The following is a 23,889-nucleotide window of genomic DNA, read 5'->3' as shown; positions in this document are numbered from 1 at the left end:
ATGCTGCTGGGACCCTCAGGGGGTCTGGAATGATGGGGAGAAACAGCCCAGGAGGTTGGTGTCCGGGCCACAGGGTGCCGCCGGCTGAGGCCTCAACTGACCCAGGACCCTGGTCTCCTCCTGCCAGGCTGGCTGGAGCCTGAACACCTCCCAGTCCACAGAACCCAGCCCCCCCAGCACTGAGCCTGCCTTGCCAAGGGCTGCTGGACACCCAGGCAGACTCAGTTCCCCACAGAGGGACACCCTGTACTCGGGGCTTGTATGGGGCTTCATGGGCCTGGCAGGGGGAGGCAGGGAGTGGGGCCTTGGCTGGTGCAGGTCACATTTGCAAGGCCACTGCCTGGTGGCAGAGACTCAAAGACCAAGAAGGAGGCAGGTCTGTCATTTCAGGAGAGGGCGTGCAGTCAGGGGTCGCCACCCAGAGCAGCCACACAGAGCAAGGGGCCCAATGGGCGATTTGCTCCCTGCCTGCACTCCTGAGACAGGCCGGCGTTGCGGGATCGCGTGTGTGCACGTGTGTGCTGTGCTAGGAGGGAGGGCAGCTGCATCCGTGTATCTGTGCATGTGTGTGCCCGGAGTGTCAGAGGGTGTGTGTGCACACAACACTGAGCCCCCAGGGGACACTGAGGAAGGGGCTGAGGGCGATGTGGGGCCTTACTGTGGGAGAGGAGCTCGCTGACCACGGGCATCCCGTTGAAGTCCCCACAGAGCCCACAGGTCTTGTTGGCGTATTTGGTGTCCAGCTCCAGCTGCAAAGGGAGAGACATCAGACACCCATCCCCACCAGGGGCAGATGGACAGATGAGGCTCGAGCCTGAGATTTCCGAGGAGGGGCCGAGGCCCACGGAAGAGACACCCCCGAAAGCAGTCTCCATCCTGGGGGCACAGACCCCGGGACACCATTGGTGTCTGGGCACCTGTTCTTGCCTGCTGTGTGGGGTGGAGTCTGACCCTGACTGGGCCCAGGGCACCTTCTACCCTCTCCGGAGAGGCTGTGGGAGCAGGCCGGCCCTCGAGGGCTGGAGTTGCACACCGGGACACCCCCACCCAGCCTCACCAGCAGGCTGTCATCGTGGTTCCACATGAGGACAAGGCCCAGCCTGGCCTCCACCTTGGTGTAGCTGCTGCTCTGCTGAATGAGGACCCCAGACTGGCTGAAGGGCAGCAGGACCCTGTGGAGGAAGGCAGGGCTGAGGGGCTGGGAGCGCAGTGAGGAGAGACCCCAGGCAGGGCAGATGCCTGCGGTCGCAAATGTGACACGGTCATCGTGACCGTGAAGTCGCGTCTGGGATGGGGACATTGACCTCTGGAGCTCGGGGGTCACGAGGAGCTAGGAAGGGGCAGAATAAGAGCCTGGGGATCCCAGGAGGGGCAGGTGGGCCACTCGGGGGACGAGGGAGGGCCCATGTCCAGCTCTGCTCTCAGGGGCTTCCTGAGAAATCCACATCCCTCCCAGGACCGCGAAACCCCGCAACCACCCGGAAATGCCACCCCACACGCCGCGTGGCCCCCACCATCCCAGAACCCAGACTCACGGGTGGCCGTTGACCAGGACGGAGCCCTTGGTCAGCTGGATGACCACGCCATCCACCTTCATGAGGACCCTGCTCAGCGTGGGGGCCGCTGACTCCTGGCTGCGGCGTAGCTGGATGTTAAAATCCTCGTAGGCGGCACCGCAGTGCTCGGAGAACACGTAGTTGCAGAGGCCGGGGAAGCGGAAGACGTCGCCGTCGAAGGTCTTGTAGTGGAAGCTGCCCCAGGTGCTGCACACCCGCCCGTTGTGCGCCGGGTTGGAGGCTGCGGTGGAAGCAGCATGGTGTTTGGGGGCGTCGCCCTCATCCTCGCCCTGCACCCCCTGCCTCTGCCCTGTACCTCCTGCCCCTCCCCAGGGTCCTGCAGGAAGTGCTGCTGCCCTGGACGGGGCACCCAGGGGTCCTTCCTGCATCTGGGAAGTCCCAGAAACGTGTGCAGGGAGATGCTGGGCCCTCTGGCTCCAATACCCACCCAGTGTTCACCCGGAAAGCTGGGGCCCCTCTCCACCCGGCACCTCCAGGCCTGAGCGGGGAGCTCAGCAAAGCTATGACCCTTCCCCACCCAGGCCTCCGGGCTCCACTCACCTCGTACCACAGGGATGGTCCTCAGAGATGGGAAGACAGTCGCCCCACGGAGCGGGACCCCTGCGGAGACAGGGGCTGGTAGGATTCACGCACGGCCCCACGTGGGGCGGGGGCTCCGCAGCCAGAGGAGACGTTCCAGAGTCAGCAGGTCCCAGCTCCTGGCTCCGAAGCCAACTCCGGATTCTGCTGCGTGTTGGGCCCCCTCCCACCCACCCACCATCTGCACGTTGTGTACTTGTGACCACACACCCTGCGTTCGGTGACTTTTTCATTCCTCCCGGCTGTCACCAGGAAGAAGTCCCCAGGGGCTGCCAGCTCTCACATGCCCATGGGCCTCAGAACCTGAGTCTGCATCAGCGGCTCAAGACAATCTCTCAGGTGCTGAGATTAGGCCTGTCTGGCCCGATTTGGAGAAATGCAATCTGAGAGTTTGCCTGAAGCCCCCTGCCCTGGCTGCCCTTGCCTGCCCTGCCTCTGCCAGGGCTGCTGGGCCTCCACGGGCTCCCGCTAGCACGAGCCACATGGGGACGGCCGGCGCCAAGGGAGATGCCCGTGTTGCTGAAGCGTCAGGAGGTGAACGGGGGGGACACCAAGGCAGGACCCAGCTCCAGATCCCCGGAGGGTGACCGGCTCCCACGGGACATGGGCACAGCAAATCTGCCCCGCCCTGCAGCTCCTTCAGAGCCTAAGCGCTGCAGGGGGCTGGCCCAAGGAGAGGCAGGTAGTGTGACCGACCAGGGCCATGGATGTGGGGGTGTCCTCCTGTCCCCCCAGGTTTGGTCCTCAGCAGTGGCCAGCTGGGGAGCCACCCTAAGACCAGTGGCCCTAGGGGCCGTGCCACACGGTGGAGGGTGGAATCTGACAGGCTTAGGGTGGGGGCCGGACACTCAGACTCACCGCTGGGCCCCCGGGCGATAGGAGAGAGGGCAGGGTGGTGCTTGTAGCTGGATTCGGAGGAGCCATCCTGGGCATGGCCTGCAGAAAGAGGAGGGGGGCTGAGCCCAGATGCAGGGTGGCTGAGGGGGCTCAGGCTGCGGCCACAGATGCAGCATGGACACCAGAGGGACGGGAGGCCACAGTGCGTGGGGGTGGCCCGTGGCAAGGGCTCTCTCTGTGCTGGGTTGGGGGGGTCCTAGGAGGCCTCTGTCCATGTGAGTCTGAAGTCTGAGCCCAGACCCTCCAGGAGCATCTCCTCAGCCTGGCCCCATGGAGCAGGTGGCGTCAGGACCCTTCGCCCCGATCTGGCATCCCTATCTATTCATTCCCACTCACTGCCAAGCGTGCCAGGCCCTGGCCCCCACGCTGCCACGCTTGGGACCCCTGTCCAGTACAGTGATCCCACTGAGGGGCTGGAGCAGTCAAAGGCATGGGAGGGGTCGGCCCCAAGACCACCTGGAGGACCCTGCCTCCCTACAAGCAGCAGACCCTGCAGGAGGCTGATCTTCAGGGTCCATAGAGACTGTGCTAATGTGCAGAATGTCACCAGATTTCAGCCCGGCCCAGCCCCGCACAGCCCTGCACAGAGCCAGCATAGTGGGACCAGACCACAGCCTCGCACAGCCCTGCACAGAGCCAGCATGGTGGGACCAGACCCCAGCCCCGCACAGCCCTGCACAGAGCCAGCATGGTGGGACCAGCCCCAGCCCCACACAGCCCCGCACAGCCCGTCGCAGAGCCAGCATGGTGGGACCAGCCCCAGCCCCACACAGCCCCACACAGCCCCACACAGCCCCGCACAGAACCAGCATGGTGGGGCCAGACGCCAGCCCTGCACAGCCCTGCACAGAGCCAGCATGGTGGGACCAGACCCCAGCCCCGCACAGCCCTGCATAGAGCCAGCATGGTGGGACCAGACCCCAGCCCCGCACAGCCCCACACAGCCCCACACAGCCCCGCACAGAACCAGCATGGTGGGGCCAGACGCCAGCCCCGCACAGCCCTGCACAGAGCCAGCATGGTGGGACCAGACCCCAGCCCCGCACAGCCCCGCACAGCCCCGCACAGCCCCGCACAGCCCCGCACAGCCCCGCACAGCCCCGCACAGCCCCGCACAGAACCAGCATGGTGGGACCAGACCCCAGCCTCGCACAGCCCCTCACAGCCTCGTACAGCCCCGCACAGCACCCCAGCATGGGGGGACCAGACCCCCCACACAACCCCGCACAGCCCCGCCCAGCACCATCATCGTGGGACTGGACCCCAGCCCCGCACAGCCCCGCACAGCCCCGCACAGCACCAGCATGGTGGGAGGGGCGCCCGGCCCAGCCCAGGACCTGCAGAGAGGGGTCTTAGGGAAAGCTGTGATTCGCCTGCACCCCAGCCCCAGCTTTCCAGTTCCCGCAACTGGCATAGGGGTCCTCAGGCCAGGCTGGGAGACCCCCCTCGCCCTCACACCCTCTGGCCCCAGTGGGGCCCACTGCATCAAATCCGTCAGTGGGCGGAGGGGTGTTAGCATCTGCAAGCCCCGTGGGGGAGACGGAGATGACGGCCTGAGCCTCACTTATCTAGTCCCAGCCCAGGCCTGCCCCCACCTTCTAAGCCCCCGCAGACCCCAGCCCCAGCTCCGCCCTCTCCTGGGAGCAGCCCCGGGACAGAATTCCTGCTTCTGAGATGAGGGTGGTACAGACGAGGGACGGCGGGGCAGAGTCCGACTAGGCCACAGTGGAGGGTGGCACGGAGACACCGGGAGAGGGTTCTTCTTGCTCTGAGACTGCCTGGCAGAGGGCCAGAGGCTGGGGACAGGGCTGGGCGAGGGACCTGGGTGGGCCATGTGGCGGTCTCGGCAGTGCTGAGGTCCCTGCCCTGCTGTTCCAGGAGCCCAGGAGCACCCACCCCCCTCCAAACCCCGGCATTACCCCATGGGGGCACATGGTCACCAGCAGACCCGGTCCCAGGTGTCCCTCAGAAGCAGAGGAAGGGAACTGCTGGCCCAGCAAGGGGCAGTCCAGACCACAGGACCTGGAGCCTCCCCCATCACCCTCTTAGCCTCAGGGCGGGGGTGAAACAGTTCCCTTGTGGGCCTCACCATCACATCCCAGCTCAGAGGCTGAGACCTCCCCCCGCAGGAGATCCCCATCGAGGCCCAGACAGGGAACGTGAGCTGGTGAACTGGGCATGTGTGGGGTGTGCAAGGGCAGGTGCCTGGGGCTAATGCCCCGACCAGGCCCAGCAGGGGCCATGAGCAGCTGGAGATACTGTGGGCCAGGTGCTGTCGGCTTCTGGGGACAGGTGCAGGGATCCGGGCCGGGAGGGAAAGCCCGAGATCTGAGCTCCTACTTCCCTGCCTCAGGGAATGGCCCAGCCTCAGAGGTCCGCGAAGCCCAGAGATCCCTTCCCAACCCCACAAGGGGAAACTGCTCGTTCGTGGCCAGGCCACAGTCAGGGGCTATGCTGCTGGGAGCCGTTCATGGCACATGCAGCCTGCCCGGAACCCAGGGCAAAGACTGAGCTGCCTGAGGCCCACTCAGTACCGCACCACCCAGGACCAGTAGAGCGGCCAGGGGCCAAGCCGTACCTGTATGCCGGGTGCAGGCCAGAGCGAGAGCCAGGGCCCAGAGCAGGGCCAGCTTCCTCCGGCCAACACTCATTGTGTGGACGGCGGGGAAGAGTGCCCTGTCCCTCAGCAGCCTCTGAGGAGGGACCCAAGGTGGCAGGAGCTTTTTGTAGCCCCAGAGCTGGCTCCAGCCCCGTGCTTCACGTGGGTGGGCAGGGCGGGGCCTGTGGTTCCCCCTCACCCAAGTAAACAGTGGGTGCTCACTGCGGGCTGGCCAGCGGCCGGTGGCAGGCGGAGATGGGTGTGTCTGCCGGATAGAGCCCAGTTTCCGAGGGCCCCCCCAAGCCCTGGCCTGCAGGGGTCCTCCCCACATACCCCACCCTAGACTCTCCCTGGGCACCGTGCCATGCCCAGCAGCCTGTGAGTTCCTGGTGCCCAGAAGTGAGTGCTCAGAACAGCCTTAAGGCACCTCTTTGACACTAATCCCTCTGCAGCAGGACAGGGGGCCCAGCCCAGCCTTTCCCTTTCCTGCCATTCCTCCCATGGCCGACCTCCTGGTTGGACCCTCCACATGGGCAGTGGAGCTGCCGACCTTGGCTGGGGAATGTGTGGCTGCCTGGGAGGGAGAGGCCAGCCCCAGCCCCATCCAAAGCTCCTTATGGTCACCTATTTCTCCATTTCTGTGCCTTTTACTCCCCATGTCTTGTCTTACCCGGATGCCTAGAGAGAGAGCACATGCGGCAGGAGTGTGGCGAAAGGAAAAATGATTGAGTGAGTGAATGAATGAGTAAATGAGTGATTGAGGAGTGAGTGAGCCAAGGCGTCCCTCAGGCCAGCCACATGCTGCCACTGAAGTAGCGCCAGCCAGCCTCACCCTCCCTGGAGAGGGGCTCCTGGCAGCAGCCTCCAGGCAAATGATAGAACCCCTCCCTCACCATGCAGCCCCCTCCCAGCATTGCCCAGGAGTCCACCTGTGCTTCTGTCTCCTGACCCCAGGCGGGCAGGGCCAGTTCAAGTCACTTGATGGTCTCTGGCCACCAAGATCCAGAAATGCTCAGTACCCTCTGGACAGGAAGCTGTTGACTGGTCCGAGCAGTCCCAGCACAGAAAGGTCCCAGTGAGTCTTTGGCCTGAAGGGCTCTGGCTGAGAAGGTGCTGTTGTGTGATGAACACTTGCCCAGACCACAGGTGTGTGGCTGGACACTGTGGCTAGACTCTCCCTCCCAGGCAGCCACACACTCCCCAGCCAAGGTCGGCTGCTCCACTGCCCATGTGGAGCGTCCAACCAGAAGGTCTCCCATGGGAGGAATGGCAGGAAAGGGAGAGGCTGGGCTGGGCCCTTTGTCCTGCTGCAGAGGGGTTAGGGTTGAAGAGGTGCCTCAAGGCTGTTCTGAGCACTTGCTTCCAGCTCTCTAGGGACCCGTCCCAAGCTCTTTATGATTGCCTACTTCTCCATTTCTGTGCCTTTCCCTCCCCATGTCCTGTCTTAGCCCAGGTGCCTAGAGAAAGAGCACTTCACATGTGGCAGGAGTGTGGGGAAAGGGAAAATGATTGAGTGAGTGAATGAATGAGGTAATGAATAAGTAAGTGGATAAATGAGTGAGTCTATGAGTAAATGAGTGAGTTAAAATGAATGTGAATGAGTGAGCGAGTGAGTGAACAGGTGAGTGAGTGAGTAAATGAGTGAGTAAATGAGTAAGTGAATGAGAGAGTGAATGAGTAAATGAGTGAGTAAATGAGTAAGTGAATGAGAGAGTGAATGAGTGAGTGACTGAGTTAATGAATAAATGTGAATGAGAGAGATAGTGAAAGAGTGAATAAGCAAGCAGTGAATGAGTGAATGAGTCAGTGAGTGAGTGAATGAGTGAATAAGTGAATGAGTGAGTCAATGAGTGGGTGAGTGAGTGAATGAGTGAGTGAATGAGTGAATGAGTCAGTGAGTGAGTGAAAGAGTGAATGAGTTAATGAGTCAATGAATGAGTGAGTGAATGAGTGAGTAAATAAGTTAGTGAGTAAGTGAAGGGGGAATGAGTGAGTGAATGAGTCAATGAGTTAGTGAGTGAGTGAATGAGTGAGTGAATGGGTGAATGAATGAGTAAATGAGTGAGTGAGTGAATAAATGGGTGAGTGAATGAATAAGTGAATGGGTGAATGAGTGAGGGAATGAGTCAATGAGTCAGTGAGTGAGTGAATGAATGATTGAGTGAATGGGTGAATGAATGAGTGAGTGAGTGAGTAAATGAGTGAGTGAATGAGTGGATGCATGAGTGAATGAGTGAGTGAGTCAATGAGTGAGTGAGTGTATGAGTCTATGAGTGAATAAGTGAGTGAGTGAATGGGTGAATGAATGAGTGAATGGGTGAATGAATGAGTGAGTGAATGAGTGAATGAATAGATGAGTGAATGAGTGAATGAGTAAGTGAATGAGTGAGAGTGAATGAGTGAGTGACTGAGTTAATGAATGAATGTGAATGAAAGAGATAGTGAAAGAGTGAATAAGTGAGCAGTGAATGAGTGAGTGAATGAGTCAGTGAGTGAGTGAATGAGTGAATAACCAAATGAGTGAGTCAATGAGTGAGTGAATGAGTGAGTCAGTGAGTGAGTGAATGAGTGGATGCATGAGAGAGTGAATGAGTTAATGAGTCAGTGAGTGAGTGAATGAGAGAGTGAATGAGTTAATGAGTCAATGAATGAATGAGTGAGTAAATGAGTGAGTGAGTAAGTGAATGGGTGAATGAGTGAATGAGTCAATGAGTCAGTGAGTGAGTGAATGGGTGAATGAATGAGTAAATGAGTGAGTGAGTGAATAAATGGGTGAGTGAATGAGTAAGTGAATGGGTGAATGAGTGAGGGAATGAGTCAATGAGTCAGTGAGTGAGTGAATGAATGAGTGAGTGAATGGGTGAATAAATGAGTGAGTGAGTGAATGAGTGAATGAGTGGGTAAATGAGTGAGTGAATGAGTGGATGCGTGAGTGAATGAGTGAGTGTATGAGTCTATGAGTGAATAAGTGAGTGAGTGAATGGGTGAATTAATGAGTGAGTGAATGAGTGAGTAAATAAGTGAATGAGTGTATGAGTGAATAAGTGAGTGAGTGAAAGTGTGAGTGAATGGGCGAATTAATGAATGAGTGAGAGAGTGAGTGAATAAGTGAGTGAGTGAATGGGTGAATGAATGAGTGAATGGGTGAATAAGTGAGTGGGTGAGTGAGTGAATAAGTGAGTGGGTGAGTGAGTGAGTGGGTAAATGAGTGAGTGAATGAGTGGATGCGTGAGTGAATGAGTGAGTGTATGAGTCTATGAGTGAATAAGTGAGTGAGTGAATGGGTGAATTAATGAGTGAGTGAATGAGTGAGTAAATAAGTGAATGAGTGTATGAGTGAATAAGTGAGTGAGTGAAAGTGTGAGTGAATGGGCGAATTAATGAATGAGTGAGAGAGTGAGTGAATAAGTGAGTGAGTGAATGGGTGAATGAATGAGTGAATGGGTGAATAAGTGAGTGGGTGAGTGAGTGAATAAGTGAGTGGGTGAGTGAGTGAGTGGGTGGCGACTGACTGAGCGAGTGATCACATTTAAGGCTGAGCGGCTGACAGGGTTAGGGTGGACCACCCCAGCCACTGGTGCTTCAGGAGGTCTGACTCGACCAGGTGTAGCCAGGGTTCCCCTGCCCTGGCCCAGGAGTGGACACCAGGTCGCCTGGTGCTGATGAAGGCAGAGGAGGGTCCTGGTAGTGGACAATGGGCCCCGCGGTGGGACCAGATCCCAGGGCCAGGTGGTTATGTCAGTGGGGCATAGGGAAGGGCTTGAGGGTCTGCAGGTGTGACCGGGACCCTGGCCAGGGCCGCATGTGAGTGCCTGAAGGCCTGCCCTCCTTACGCCCTCAGATAGACAGGAGGCAGTGGGTGAGTCAGTGTCCAGCCCCCAACAGAGGACAGGCCTGAGTCACTGGCCCAGTCCATACCGTGACCTCTGAACAGTCTGAGTCACCAGCGTGGCCCTCAGAGGGGAGTGCCCCCTGCGTGTCTGAGGCTGGGCCAAGCCCCGGGGCACCTGGCCAACTGGCCACCCAGGCCTTGCCGCCCCAGCCACAGCTTTCTCCTCCCTCAGCCAGACGTCACCCAGGGCCGCTGCTGGGGTCCAGCTGGGGTGACTTCCCCCCACCAGTGTTGGTGACCCCTGGCTGTGCTGGGCTTCCTCTTGGGGCCTGGGCTCAGGCACCCAAAACCCCTGGGCATGGGCCACGGGCTGACCACCTGGTCCCATGAAAACCCCACCAGGCCGAGGCCTCAGGAGGCCTGAAGCCAGTGCCTACAGTTCCAGAGCCTACAGCCCCAGGCTCCACACACCCAGAACTTTCCAGAAAACCCACTGGGCCTTGTTTCTGAGCCCTGTGGGCATTTTCTGTGTGTCCCCAGGGGCAGTGAGGTCCCGGCCACGCCACAGGCCTCAGAGGGGAATCTGAGGTGGTCACTGCAGCCTTGCTGGGGGCTCTCAGAGGGTGCAGGCAGGGCTGGCCGAGCCGTGGCGCAGCCACCTGCCTCCTGGGAACCCTCCCTGAGGCCTAAAGCTCTCAGCATATGCCCGGGAGTCCCACCCACCGGAGGGCTCCATGCCATCTCCAGTCCCCTCAGCTCCCAACCCCCATCCAGCACAATAACTCCTCCTGCTGCCTCCCAGCAGGGGCCCTGGCCAGGCCGGCTGGATACCTTCCCCCAGCCTGGGGCCGGTGTCAGCTCTGAGACCGGCAGCCAGGACAGGTGTAAGACCAGCGACTTGGCCTCAAAATCAGGATCACTCTTCCCCCGTGAGCTCCCGACCCCCCGTGGTAGCCAAGCCCAGCACTTGCATCTCGGAACCCTGATGCCCCGGCCACCCTGCCCGCAGCGCCGACCACTTAGCGGGCACGGCTGCGCATGCGGTCCGGGTGGGGCTGCAGCAGGGGCCTGGGGGCCGGTGTCTGAAAAGCAGGCGCAACCCCTAAAGCAGACCCTGCCTCAGCCCCTGAGAAGGGTGATGACCCCACCGGGCAGGAGTCCACCCTCCTGACTTGAACCTGCACCCTCAGGTGAGAGGCACCTTCAGGGAAGGTGTGTGCCTGGGACCAGCAGCTGCCTGTCATCTGGAAAGTGTTTGCAGGAGGGTCCCCAGGGCGGGGACAGTGCCGGGCAGGTGGGAGCTTTTGCTTCTGTGGGATGTGCAGGAGGAAAGCTGTGCATGGGGGTGGCACGTGGGCTCCGCCGGGACCGCAGCCCACAAACCTTCACTGCACTCTGGTGCGGGAGGCCCCACAGCTCTGGTCCTGGGCGGCCGCCAGTGCCCCTCTCTCCTCGGGATCTGACAGGTGAATGCAGACAGGAGGGCACTGGAGAAAGGGCGGGGGTCACGGGCCTGATAGGAGCTCCCAGCCAGGTATTGCCACAGAGACAACAGGATTGGGAATGGAGGGAGGCCCGGCCACATCCCAGGGCAGCACTGTCTCCTGCCGCCAGGTGCTGACCCCGCCTCCGGCCCCCTGGACTTGGGAGGAATTGTGTCGGTTAGCTGTTTGTCCTGGGTGACTAACTCAAGTGAGATTAACCACGGCCCGCACCACATCCGGTGGGGAAAGCCCCCTGTGGATGGCTTCGGCCCCACAGAGCTGGGGGAACAGCCTGGGGTGCCCCAGGGCCACTTCCCCTGGAGGAGGGAGTGAAGAGGGTCCTGCTCCCCAGGACCCCCCAGAACTCCCTGGGAGCCCCTTAGACACCCCCACAGGTGTGTATGTTCCAGGTTTCTCAGCCCCACCAGGCCGAGCGCACACTGTTGGGGGCACCTGGCCCAGTCTGCCCTCCAGCAGCATCAGGAGAGGCCCCCAGCCCGGCCTGAGCCCAGCCAGGACACCCCAGCCCGGTGGTTACTGGCCAGGTGAGCAGGGGAGGGAAGCACTGGTTTCAACATCGCAAGCCCTGGGCTGGGCTCACACTCTGCCCCCAGCCTGTCGCTTCCATCCCAGTTTCCGGGCACAGCCCCTAGGAGGTGACCTGCAGGGCCGCTGGGGTCAGCCTGGCTCTGGCTGGCAGGACCTGGGGAGGCCACGCCTACCCTAAGGCACCTGGGGTGGAGGGTGGGGGTCTGTCCTGGGGAGACCAGGGGAGGGCAGCTCCACACACCCTGCCCACAGGAGACCCCAGGGCTCTGTGGAGCAGACATCTTCCCTTCCAGGCGGGGGGTGGCGTAGGACTCCAGCAGCTCCCGCTGTGGGGCCCTGAGCCCGTGCATTACCCTCCTGTACCATCTGTTAAATGGCTCATTTAAAGCCCGCTGCTCAGAGCCCTGCTGCCCTAGGAGGAACCCAGCCATGCACCCCCACAGCGTCCAGGCATGCTAGGTCCCCTAGGAGGAACCCAGCCATGCATCTCCACAGTGCCCAGGCATGCTGGGTCCAGAGGTGAGCTCAGTGCCAGCCCGCCCCACCCTCCTCCTAGACTTGGGACCACTGGGGGCCTGCAAAGTGCCTGTGTCCTCATCCACAAAACGGGGTGGAGCCACCATGTTCTGCCATTTCTGCCACTTCCATGCTCTGAACATAGCCTCTCTCATGCCTGGTGGTTCAGAAAATGATGGTAGCTTAGCACCTGTGACCCTCAGTCTCGCCAAGGCCGGGGTGGGCCGTGGGGTCCAGGACAGCCCCTGGCCGGGCCTCTGACAGCCCATGTTCTGGGGGACGTGGCAGAATCAGGAAGCCTGATTAGGGCTTCGTGTGGGAATTGGAGAATGATTTCACAGAAAGACAATAGAGTTTCTCAGCGCTGGGACCAGGATACGCTCCGGCTTTGGAAGGGGAGGCACCCTGGGTGGGACTGGGAAACTGACACATGAATTATCAGCGGCTGTTGACAGAAAGAGCAGGCTTCGGCAGCAGATTTTTACCAAGCCAGGAACTTACACAATAAGGAGGAAGGAGGCTTAAATTTCTTCCCGACTTTACCAGGGGGCCCGAGGGAGAGCTGTGGCGGACGTACCCATGGCGGGGTTGGGTGGCCCTTGCCCAGAGGGAGCTGAGACCCTGCTGGGCCCTCTGGGCAGGGAGGGGGCAGAGTAAATTTGATTTTGTGGCAGGGCTGCGTGATCTGGAGCCTTCCTACGTTTATTTATTTTCTCTGAATCACTGGACAAACAGAATTCCTCCCAAGATGTGGCCTGGGCTACTGGAGCTCTGGCCCCCAAGGCCCACGGTTCTGGCCAAAGCGTCAGTTCCTTGCACCCGTGTCCACAGCAAGGGCCACACTGACCCCCAGGAGTGGCTGTCGGCTCCATGGGCCTCCCATGTGGCAGAGCCGTTCATCTGCACCTGCTTCCATCTTCATCTTCCCGGGCGGGCGGGCGGGTGGCGATGCTCCATGCTGGGGGCTCCCCTGTGCCTGGGTCCAGTTCAGCTCCTGGGAGCCCCGGCCTCCTCATCCCCCTCCCCCCACCCCTCGGCCCCCATGCCTCTGGTTCCCCTATTGCCCTCACATCTCCTGAACCCCAGGCACCTTCAGCAGGGCCCCTGAGTGCACATGCACCTGTGAGTAATTTGGGGCTGGAGACTCAGGGGATCACAGATTCTGGGGCAGATCTGTGGACCCCAGATCCCCTTCAGTCCATCGCCCAGCCAGTTTCCTGGGCCCCTCCCCTGACCTTGGTAGCCCCAAAGGCCCATGAGAGTCAGGGGATGCTGCCGGCTAGTCCCCTGCCCCCCTGCTCCACTGTGCACATGCTGCCCCTCCCTGATGGGGGGCCCTGCCAGGCCATGTGCACCATGGATCCCCATCCGGGTCGGCCTCGGGGAGAGGACCAGCCAGAGCGTGCTGCCCTCGCTGTGGTTTCCAGGGGCCCAGACCAACCAGGGCATTGGGGCACAGGTTAGCACCTCTGACCCCTGGGAGGACAGAGGGGCATCAACACAGGGTGGGGCGTCATCCACCAAATGCATACGCAGGGTGGGGCGTCCACCAAATGCATGCGCAGGGTGGGGCGTCCACCAAATGCATACGCAGGGTGGGGTGTCGTCCACCAAATTCTGACCGTGCATTTAAAAGGTATTTTTCTCAGTGCAAAATCACAAAGAATTGAAAGCAGGGTCAGCAGTCTTGTTGACCACAGCCAAGAGGTGGAAGCAGCCTGGTGTCTGTCCACGAATCTGGGGGAAAACAAGGTGAGGCCCATTGTGCCGGGGAGCACCAAGCAGCCCCCAAAAGGAAGGAGGCCCTGGCATAGGCGGCAGTGTAGGCGGATCCAAGGACATTGGCTTGGAGAGACAAGCCATCCACGGAAGGGCAAACGCCACGTGGTTCCACTACACCAGCGGCTGGGGCCGCCAAATCCACACACACAGAAAGCAGATGGTGGCCGCCAGGGCTGGGCAGGGGCTGGGCACGGGGAGTGGGGACCTGGTGTTTAACAAGACAGAGCTTCAGTTCTGCAAGACGAAGATGTTCTGGAGATGGTGGCTCTGCGGGCCGCACGGCAGTGTGAATGTCCTAACAGCACTGCACTGTGCACCCAGCAGTGGCAAAAAACGTCAACTTTATGTTATGTGTTTTTTACAACAATAAAAAATTGGAACAAAATGTAAAGCGAAAATTGCCCCCCTCGTCTTGAGAAGACACCCACGAATATTTTGATGGGGTCTTTTCAGATCTTCTGTGGACATGCGCCTGCTCCTCCTGTAAGGAGGCATTGGGTGCCTTTCTTGCTGGAGGCCCTGGGGAACTCGAGCTCAGCCTGGCCCCCTCACCCAGGGGGCCTCTTCAGGTCCAGCCTTCCGGGTTCATATAAAATACAAATATACTGGCCATGTCTCCAGGGATGTCTCGAAATACATGTCTCGAAAGTATTGGCTGAGGGAAGCTGAGCCACGAGGCATGGGCTGGGCCCAGCGTCCCCAAAATGCCCAGGGGAGGCTGTCTTCCCAGGGTCAGTGCGAGCCCAGCTCCAGGAGCAGGTGGGCCCAGAGACACCCACTTTTGGGGGCTGGAAACCCAGAGGTGCTGGGGGCCACCCCGTCCAGGGCCCCACCTGGCAGACACACCCCCGGTGTGTTCACAGCCTCACACTCACACCTGGACTGTTTGAAGAATGCACAGGTGAATAAGCCCTGTGTGCACCTGCTCTGAGCCACGCCCCTAGGCCAGGTGGGTTCGGGCCATGGGGCCAGCCAAGCTCCATCACCCTCAAAGGGCTCTGCTCGCCTCACCTCCCCTCGGCAGGCCTGGCCCACCCACCTGCATCTCAGAGCCCCCACAGTGCGCCCCAGGTGCCTGTCCCACAGTCTGGGGAGAGGGAGTAAGTAGGACAAGGGACACAGGATTAAAGGCCCTGGCACCTGAATGTGGTCCTGGGAGAGAGAGAGAGGGCAACGCGTGCCAGGCTAAACGGTGCAAGAAAGGCCCCACACTCACCCCACACACAGCCTGGGACTCACCCAAGGAAACCCCAATAGCCCATTCAGCTCTGTGGGCAGGACCGTGTGATCACAACGCACAAACCCATTGAACTGCAGCGACATGGCAGCAGTAGCAGTCCACACACACACACCATGCAAACACACACACACTCCATGCAAACAACACACACAAGCGCACACACACCATGCAAACACACACACACCATGCAAACACACACACACTCCATGCAAACACACACACACAAACACACACACACCATGCAAACACACACACACAAGCACACACACCATGCAAACACACACACACAAGCACACACACACCATGCAAGCACACACACACCATGCAAACACACACACACAAGCGCACACACACCATGCAAACACACACACACACCATGCAAGCACACACACACAAGCACACACGCCATGCAAGCACACACACACCATGCAAACACACACACGCCATGCAAGCACACACACACAAGCACACACACACGCCATGCAAACACACACACACCACGCAAGCACACACACACAGGCACACACACACCATGCAAGCACACACACACAAGCACACACACATGCCATGCAAACACACACACACGCACATACACACCATGCAAACACACACACACACCATGCAAGCACACACACAAAGCACACACACACCATGTAAGCACACACACAAAGCACACACACACAATGCAAGCACACACACACTATGCAAGCACACACACATACCATGCAAACACACACACAAGCACACACACGTACCATGCAAACACACACACACAAGCGCACACACACATCAAGCACACACACCATGCAAGCACACACACAAAGCACACACAACATGCAAGCACACACACAAACACGCACACAACCATGCAAACACACAAGCCCACACACACCTGCATACACATACATGCAAACACACACAGAACCTTGCAAACACACAAACATGGAAACACACATACATAACTCTGCAAACACACACATGCAAACAGACACACACACAACCCTGCAAATACATACACAAACACACACACATGCAAACAGAGACACAACCCTGCAAACACACATGCAAACAAGCAGATGTGCACACACAGAACCCTGCAAACACACGCACATGCAAACACATGCAACCATTCAAACACACAAACACGCAAGCACATACTCACAACCTGCATACACACACATGCAAACACATATAGAACCCTGCAAACACACAAACACAGAAACACATACACAAGCCTACAAATACATACACATACAGACACATAACCCTGTGAACACACACACACACACACACACACACACACACTGGCACTCTTGGTTTTCCTCGGTGTGTTTGCCCGGTACAGGTGACAGCCTATTTCTGTGCTCTCAGTTCGTCTCATTAATCTGAATGTCTAAGTTTATATCAATGTCACTCCGTCTCGACTAAGAGCTTCATTCTAAGTCTTGGAAATGTTTTTTTCTGCTTCGTCAAGATCGTCATGGCTATCCCAGGTCTTTTCCATGGCCGTATAAATTTTAGAAGGCGCTTGTCAATGTCCACCCAAAAAAAACTGGATTTTTTATTGGGATTGAATTTACCGATCAGTTTGGAGGAAAATGACATTTTAACAATATTGAGTCTTCAACTATATTAATACATCTCCACATATTTTGGTCCTTTTGAATTTCTGCAATTCTTTGCAGTTTTTAGTGTAGAGGTCATGGGGACATTTTGTTAAATTTATTTCTAGGCAGTAGCAGTTTTTTGATGCTCTTTTCTACTAGTTTGTTGCTAGCATATAGAAATGCAGTTTTTAATATACTGACAGCATTAGCCTGAATGATGGCCCCAGAGATGCCCGCATTCTAAACCCTGGAGCCATGGGGGAAGGGACCTGGTGGACAGAGTGATGGGCCTTGGGTGGGGAGGTTGTCCTGGATTATCTGGATGGGCCCGAAGTAACCACAAGGGCTCTTGTGAAAGAAGCAAGAGGGTCAGAGAAAGAGGTCAGGCAGACAGAGACAGCGGGAGGAGAGGGAGGCAGTCGGGGAGAGCAGAGGCTCCCGATGGCTCTGCAGGTAGAGGACGGTCCGCCGGGGAAGAGACGCGGCCTCCAGAGCGGGAAGAGGCGAGGACGTGAACCCTCCCCTGGAGCCTCTGGAAGGAACGCAGTCCTGCGAGCTCCCTGGAGACTTGGCACCCCCGGACCGCACGGCGTGAGCGTGCTGTGCTCAGCCACAGGGCTGTGATCCTTTGCCACGGCAGCAGCCCGGCTCCACACAGCCAGGATGGTCTTGGTGGCAATTGCGGACCACACGTGACTGTAACAGGTTTACCACTCTGCACCTTAATGGCAGCTTAAACACATAACATCCCTTAGGGAAAACCTAAGTGGCAAACACTTTATGCAAAGTAACATCTCTTAAGGGGTCCTGGATCTGCAAACACGGTTTGAGCAAAGTGACGTTTCCCAGAAAGTGCCCATGGCCCGTTTTGCAGAATAAGGAGGGTCCAGGGGAGGGGAGAGGAGAGACGCCAGAGACAGGAAAGAGGCCAGAGACAGCCCTGCCGTGTCCACCCCCAGCCGCTTAGGCTGTTTGTCTTTTTTTTTTTTTTTTTTTTTGAGACGGAGTCTCGCTCTGTCGCCCAGGCTGGAGTGCAGTGGCCCGATCTCGGCTCACTGCAACCTCTGCCTCCCGAGTTCATGCCATTCTCCTTCCTCAGCCTCCCGAGTAGCTGGGACTACAGGCGCCCACCACCGCGCCCACCTAATTTTTTGTATTTTTAGTAGAGACAGGGTTTCACCGTGTTAGCCAGGATGGTCTCGATCTCCTGACCTCGTGATCCGCCCGCCTCGGCCTCCCGAAGTGCTGGGATTACAGGCGTGAACCACTGTGCCCAGCCTCTTTTGTCTTATTCACATGTTTGTTATCAATTTTCAGTTGTATTTTGTTAGAGACCATAGCCACAAAAATTAATCTCACATTAGGCCCCAGAGAAAACTGCAGCCAATTCCGTAGACAACAAATTGGACAGAATTACACACTAACAAGAGTGAATTTTACTGTATGCAAATTATACCTTGAAAATAAAAAATACATGTAAAAAAGATTAATTTTTGTAACTATTCTATGGATGCCTAAGATGAAGGAGTATTATCTGTATTAGAGAACAAAGTTTGAAATAAATGTGTAAATAAATCTTATTAATTACATAATTCAAATCTTCTCTCCACCTCTTGCCTACTCTATCTGTCATGGAGTAAGATACTATAACTGAACTTTTTAAAATTTCTCTGCACTTTTTCCGACATCAACTTTACATATATCTTTCATTTTTTATTAAGATATAATTTGCATACAGTAAGATCCACTCCTGTTAGGGTTACAGTTCTGGGAGCTGTGATGAACACACAGTCAGGTAACCATCACCACACTCAGAGACAGTCGCTCGGTCACCCCACGAGGTCCCCCGTGCCCTGTACAGCCAACCCCGTCCCCTCTCCCAGTCTCCAGCCACCACATATCTGTTTTGCACCCCTACAGGTTTACCTGCTCTGTGATGGTATATAGATATAGATATAGGTATAGATATACATATAGATATAGATCTGATGGAATACTACTCAGTCATAAAATGGAATGAATTAACAGCTTTTGCAGTGACCTGGATGAGATTGGAGACTATTATTCTAAGTGAAGTCACTCAGGAATGGAAAACCAAACATCATATGTTCTCACTGATATGCGGGAGCTAAGCTATGAGGATGCAAAGGCATAAGAATGATATAATGGACTTTGGGGACTTGGGGGGAAGAGTGGGAGGGGGTGAGGGATAAAAGACAAAAAATATGGTGCAGTGTATACTGCTCAGGTAATGGGTGCACCAAAATCTCACAAATCACCACTAAAGAACTTACTCATATACCCAAATACAACCCAGTAACTTATGGAAAAATAAAATAAAAATAATAAAATTATTTAAGCAAAAAAAAAGAAAAAAGGAAAATCAATGGGTTTTTTTTTTCCATTCATGGTAAACCATTTGCCAATTCTAATATTTTTCAGAACTGTTTGTGGGAATAAAAATGGATTCTAAATGAAAAAAAAGAAAGATTTCTTTCATCGGCATTTTGTAGTTTTAAGCACACAAGTCCTCCACGTTTGGTTAGATTTACGCCTACATGTTTCAAGTTATTTGCGTGATTGAGAATGGTGGTATATTTTTAAAGTCGATGAAGTCATGGTCATTGCTACTAAATAGAAATACTATTCATTGTTGTGTGTTTATCCTGTATCCTTTGACCTTTCTGCACAGACATTAGTCTTGGATTTTTTTAAATTTCAGTATCTTTGGAATTTTCTATATAGACAATCATGTCACTTAAAAATAGGGACGGCTTTATTTCTTCCAAACGAATTGCCTTTTATTTCCTTTTCTTGCTTTATTGCACTGGCAGAACTCCCAGCAGTACGTTGAATAAGAGCGATGAGAGGGGACACCCTCACCGTGCTCCCAGTGTCAGACAGGAAGAACTCAGCCTTCACCATTAGGTACAATGTTAGCAGGAGTGGTTTTTGCTTTTTGGTTTCCTTTTTTTGTAGCTGTTCTCTATCTCATTGAGGAAATTCCCTGTATTCTTATTTTTTGAGAATTTATAAGAATGAATGTTGAGTCTTTTCAAATGTTTTTGCTGCTCTGATTGATAGGCTTGTGCAATTTTTCTTCTTTGGCCTGTTAATATGGCTGGTTGCATTAATTTTTTAAATATTGACCTGGCCACCTTGCATTTCTGGAATAGATCCCTCTTGGTTAAGATGGATAATGCTCCATATAGCACTGAATTCTCTTTGCTGTTATTTTGTTAGAGTCTGTATCCATCTTCATGAGGGGTGTTGGTCCATAGTTCTGGTTTGGATTTGCTTTGTTTTTCTCCTGCCTGTATGATTTCAGTATCTGGGTCATACAGACGCCCTCCTCTTCTACATTCTGGAAGAATTATGTATGATTGGTGTTAATTCTTCTTTAAAGTTTTTACAGAATTCACCGCTGAACTCATCTGAGCCCGGAATTTCTTCTTTTGGAGTTTAAAATTATAAATTCAATGTTCTCAACCATTTATTGGGCTGCCCAGTTATCTATTTGTGTTAGCTGAGTTGTGATCACTTGTGCTTTTTGAGGAACTGGCATATTTCATCTAAGGTGCCAAAGTTCTGTGTGCAGAGTTGTGTGCCACAGCCCCTTGTCACCCTCATGATATCTGCAGGGTCTGTAGTGATTGCTCCTGTTTTAGTCCTGTCCTTGGTCATTTGTGTCTTTGCTCTTGTTTCTTGCTGTAATGCTAGAGCCTTGTCCGTGTTATTGGTATTTTTCTTTCTGCCACTGTCTCCCTGCTTTCGGTTTCACTGAGGTCTTTACTCTTTCCTTCCTTCAGTTTGCTCTGTGTGCAACCTGTGCTTCTTTTTCTCATTTCTTCAGTGGGTGGCATAGATTACTGACTTGACTCATCCTTTTTTCTAGTGTGTTCTGTTACTGCTACAAATTTCCCTCAGCACTGCTTTGACTGTATCTCTCTAATTTTTTTTATTTTTATTTTTCAGAGATAGGGTCTTGCTATGTTGCCCAGGCTAGATTCAAACTCCTAGCCTCTAGTGATGCTCCCACCTCAACCTCCTGAGAAGCTGGGACCCCAGTTGCATGTCTCCATGCCTGGCTATGTCCCTCAATTTTTGATATGTTGCATTTTCGTTTTCATTGAGTTCAATGTTGTTGTTTTTTAAAACTTCCCTTGAGACTTCCTCATTGGCCCACAGATTATTTGGAGGTCTGTTCTCTAGTTTCTGAATGTTTGGAGATTTTCCTGTTAACTTTCTGTTGTTCATTTCTAATTTGATGTCATTGTTGTCAGAGAACATGCTGGAGTGTGATGTCAGTATGTGAAATGTGCTAAAGTTTGTGTTCAGGCCCAGGACACGGCCTCTCCTGGAATGTGTTCCGTGCACATTTGAAAAGAATGTGTGTTCTGTGGTTGGGTGGAGCTCTACAAATGTTGGTCCTGTTGGTTGATGGTGTTAAGTTTTTCCACATCTTTGTTGATTTTCTGCCTAGTTGTTCTATTAATTGTTTAGACAGGGGTGTTGATGTCTCTAGCTATAATTAGAAATGGGTGCATTTCTCCTTTCAGTTTTATCAGATTTGGTTCAACTATTTTGAAGCTTTCAGGGTACATCTTCTGGTGGAAATTTCTCTTACTTTTCCTTCATCTGAAAATGCCTTAACTTCCTCTTCCTTCTTCGGGGATACTTTCACTGAATATAGCATTCTGGGCTGACAGTTCCTTTCTGTCAGCATTTGAAAAATGTTGTGCTCTTTTTGGCCTTTGGGGTTTCTGATGAGGAATCAAATGCCACTCAAACTGTCTTTCCCTTATATGTAAAATGTTGTTTCTCTCCTGCTACTTCCAAAATTTTTTGTTTTTATAGTTTTCAAAAGTTTGACTACGAGATGTTTTGCTGTGGATTTTCTTGGGTTTATCCTGTTAGGGGTTCATCGAGCTTCTTGAATCTGTGGGTGTTTTGGCAAGTTTGGGGAGTTTTCAACCTTAGGTCTTTGAGCTCTTTTCCATCCCCATCCTCTTTCTCTCCTCCCATGACCCCAACACCTGGAATGCTGGGTCTCTTGTTCTAGCCCTATGGTTCCTGAGGCTCTGTGTGTTTCTCTCATCCTGTTCAGTCTGTTTTCTCTTCGCTGATGGGTCTGATAACGTCTATTATTGTACCTCCCTGCTCACTGTTTCTTCCTCTCACTGGACTCTCCCTCTACTCTGTGTTGAGCCCATTCATTGAAGTCTTGTTTTTGTTTTTTATCTCTTCAATTATTGTAATTTTCAGTTCTACCATTTCCATTCAGTTCGTCTTTGTGTGTTCTGTTTCTGTGCTGGGATTTTCTATTATCTGTTGAGACTTTCTATTTTTAAATTGGTTTCAATTTGTTCACAAATGAAGCACTTTATGGGCTTCTCAAAAACCCTTTCCAGATCATTCTAACACCTCTTTGTCTCAGGGTCAGCCTCTGCTGATTGTCCTTTTGAATTCAGTCTGAGATCTTCCTGGGTCTTGGGATGATGAGCAATTTGTTATTGAAACCTGGGCATTTTGGAGATTGCTACGAGACTCTGGATCTTATTTAAACCTTTCTCGTTGACTTCCTCTGGCACAGATTAATGAAGGGAAGGGGCAGCTTGTGGTGTGGAAGTGCTCATTCCCCACCGGCCCTCTCTTAACACCCCAGGGGTTTTGTCCATGCCTGCCGGGCAGGGTGGAGCCCTCACCGATGCCTTCTGGCTGGGAGGGGCATGGCGCCTCGTTGCTGCTCTCATTCCCTCCACGGGCATGATGGAGGGGGCCCTGTTACACTGAGCAGTGGTCAAAGTCATGACTCTCGGCTCAGCCTCCTCTGACACTCCTCATGGGGAAGAGGAGGAGTGTTTCAACACCAGGGATGGGGTGGAAATCCAAGCTCCCTAACCCCGTGTGGTCTCCACCATCCCCATCACTGGTCACAGAGAAAGCGGTTCAGAACCACCCACTGGGATGACCCCAGCCTCCTGCTGTGCCCACTTGGACACCAGCCCTGGGGCCACCTGGGGCGCCTCATTCCAGCCACCAGGGTGGGTGCCCAGCCCTGCCCAGCCCTGCCCAGACTTTGCTCCAGTGGAGTGCAGGTTTTCCGTGGTGTTCAGCTGGAGCAGGGCAGTTATCACCTAAAAGCCTTCTGCTTTGCCGGGCAGCTACTTTCCTGATCACGCTGGCTCCAGGAGGCGGGGACTGGTGGGGCCTTTTTTTGGTGTACATGTGTTGAAGTGTCCACACTGCCAGCTTCTCCAGCTCCAGGCCTGGGATCCATGAGGCAAAAGCAAAACCCAGGGAACTTGCAATGGGTCTTTCCTGGGGCCCGAGGTCCCCGACTGGTCTGCCCTCTCCTCTCCACCTTCCGGAGCCTTCCTACATTTCTTTCATGTCTAATATTCAGGATTCTTCTTTGTACTTAGGAGGAAGACAGGGAAAAGAAGAGCTATGCCATCATCTGGGAGCAGCAGCACTATGTTTTTTAATGAGTAAAAATCAAAATAAATCACCATTGTTTCTTCTGCTTCTTCTATAAACTCAAACTGATCCTCTTTGTCGTGTTCGGTGTTCATATCTTAACCCCGCCTTTCGATTTATTAATACTACGGCCACAGCTCTGCCTCTGCTGGCTTTTGTCTCATATCCTGTTGCTTTTTGTTGTTGTTGTTGTTGATGGAGTTGTGCTCTTGTCACCCAGGCTGGAGTGCAGTGGCACTCAGCTCACTGCAATCTCAGCTCACTGCAACCTCCACCTCCCAGGTTCAAGCAATTCTCCTGCCCGAGTAGCTGGGATTATAGGCACGCGCCACCACGCCCGGCTAATTCTTGTATTTTTAGTAGAGACGGGGTTTCACCATGTTGGCCGGGCTGGTCGCAAACTCCTGACCTCAAACCCACCTTGGCCTCCCAAAGTGCTGGAATTACAGGCGTGAGCCACTGTGCCCGGCCATGTTGCCTTTCGATTTTAACTTTGCTGGGGCATTCGTTTTAGCTGTGTCTCTTTCAAACAACGTGCAGTGAGGCTGTGGGCGTGCTCTTTTCTTTTCAGCCCCATCTCCAGCCTCCTTTTCATAGGGGCATTCAGTCAGCCTTTACTGCCATGGCTTATCGCTGGCTCCTCAGTCCCTGGCCTGAGAGTCCTGACCTTTCTCCGGTCTGTTCTTGTGCAGCCGGGTTTGTGCTCCCTTTGCCGTTTCCTCTTGCAGGTCTTCACTCTGTTTTCAT

At 54.8% G+C, this 23,889-nt stretch overlaps 1 protein-coding gene across 1 annotated transcript in view, besides 2 other annotated features; it reads right to left on the bottom strand.

The window, feature by feature from the left end:
• Positions 1–5,751, bottom strand: part of MUC5AC (mucin 5AC, oligomeric mucus/gel-forming) — a 43,186-nt gene extending 37,435 nt beyond the window's left edge. Inside the window, exons 1-6 of the mRNA NM_001304359.2 lie at positions 5,632–5,751; positions 3,015–3,092; positions 2,118–2,177; positions 1,536–1,797; positions 1,058–1,172; positions 659–749 (exon numbers count right to left, since the gene is read on the bottom strand). Of these exons, the coding sequence (NP_001291288.1) occupies positions 659–749; positions 1,058–1,172; positions 1,536–1,797; positions 2,118–2,177; positions 3,015–3,092; positions 5,632–5,704 (679 nt within the window). The 5' untranslated portion in view covers positions 5,705–5,751. The remainder of the gene's footprint in view (positions 1–658; positions 750–1,057; positions 1,173–1,535; positions 1,798–2,117; positions 2,178–3,014; positions 3,093–5,631) is intronic.
• Positions 11,197–11,950: an enhancer, noted in NCBI's record as "H3K4me1 hESC enhancer chr11:1145665-1146418 (GRCh37/hg19 assembly coordinates)". NCBI's record gives its function as "activates a minimal SCP1, AML or CMV promoter by ChIP-STARR-seq in primed H9 embryonic stem cells {active_cell/tissue: H9 hESC(primed)}" and the evidence as "EXISTENCE:reporter gene assay evidence [ECO:0000049][PMID:30033119]".
• Positions 22,546–23,046: an enhancer, noted in NCBI's record as "H3K4me1 hESC enhancer chr11:1134566-1135066 (GRCh37/hg19 assembly coordinates)". NCBI's record gives its function as "activates a minimal SCP1, AML or CMV promoter by ChIP-STARR-seq in primed H9 embryonic stem cells {active_cell/tissue: H9 hESC(primed)}" and the evidence as "EXISTENCE:reporter gene assay evidence [ECO:0000049][PMID:30033119]".

Source organism: Homo sapiens, chromosome 11, assembly GCF_000001405.40.
Source record: "Homo sapiens chromosome 11, GRCh38.p14 Primary Assembly".
Classification (NCBI taxonomy): domain Eukaryota; kingdom Metazoa; phylum Chordata; class Mammalia; order Primates; family Hominidae; genus Homo; species Homo sapiens.
The sequence above is the reverse complement of the archived record's forward strand: the minus strand, read 5'-3'. Positions and strand labels throughout refer to the sequence as shown.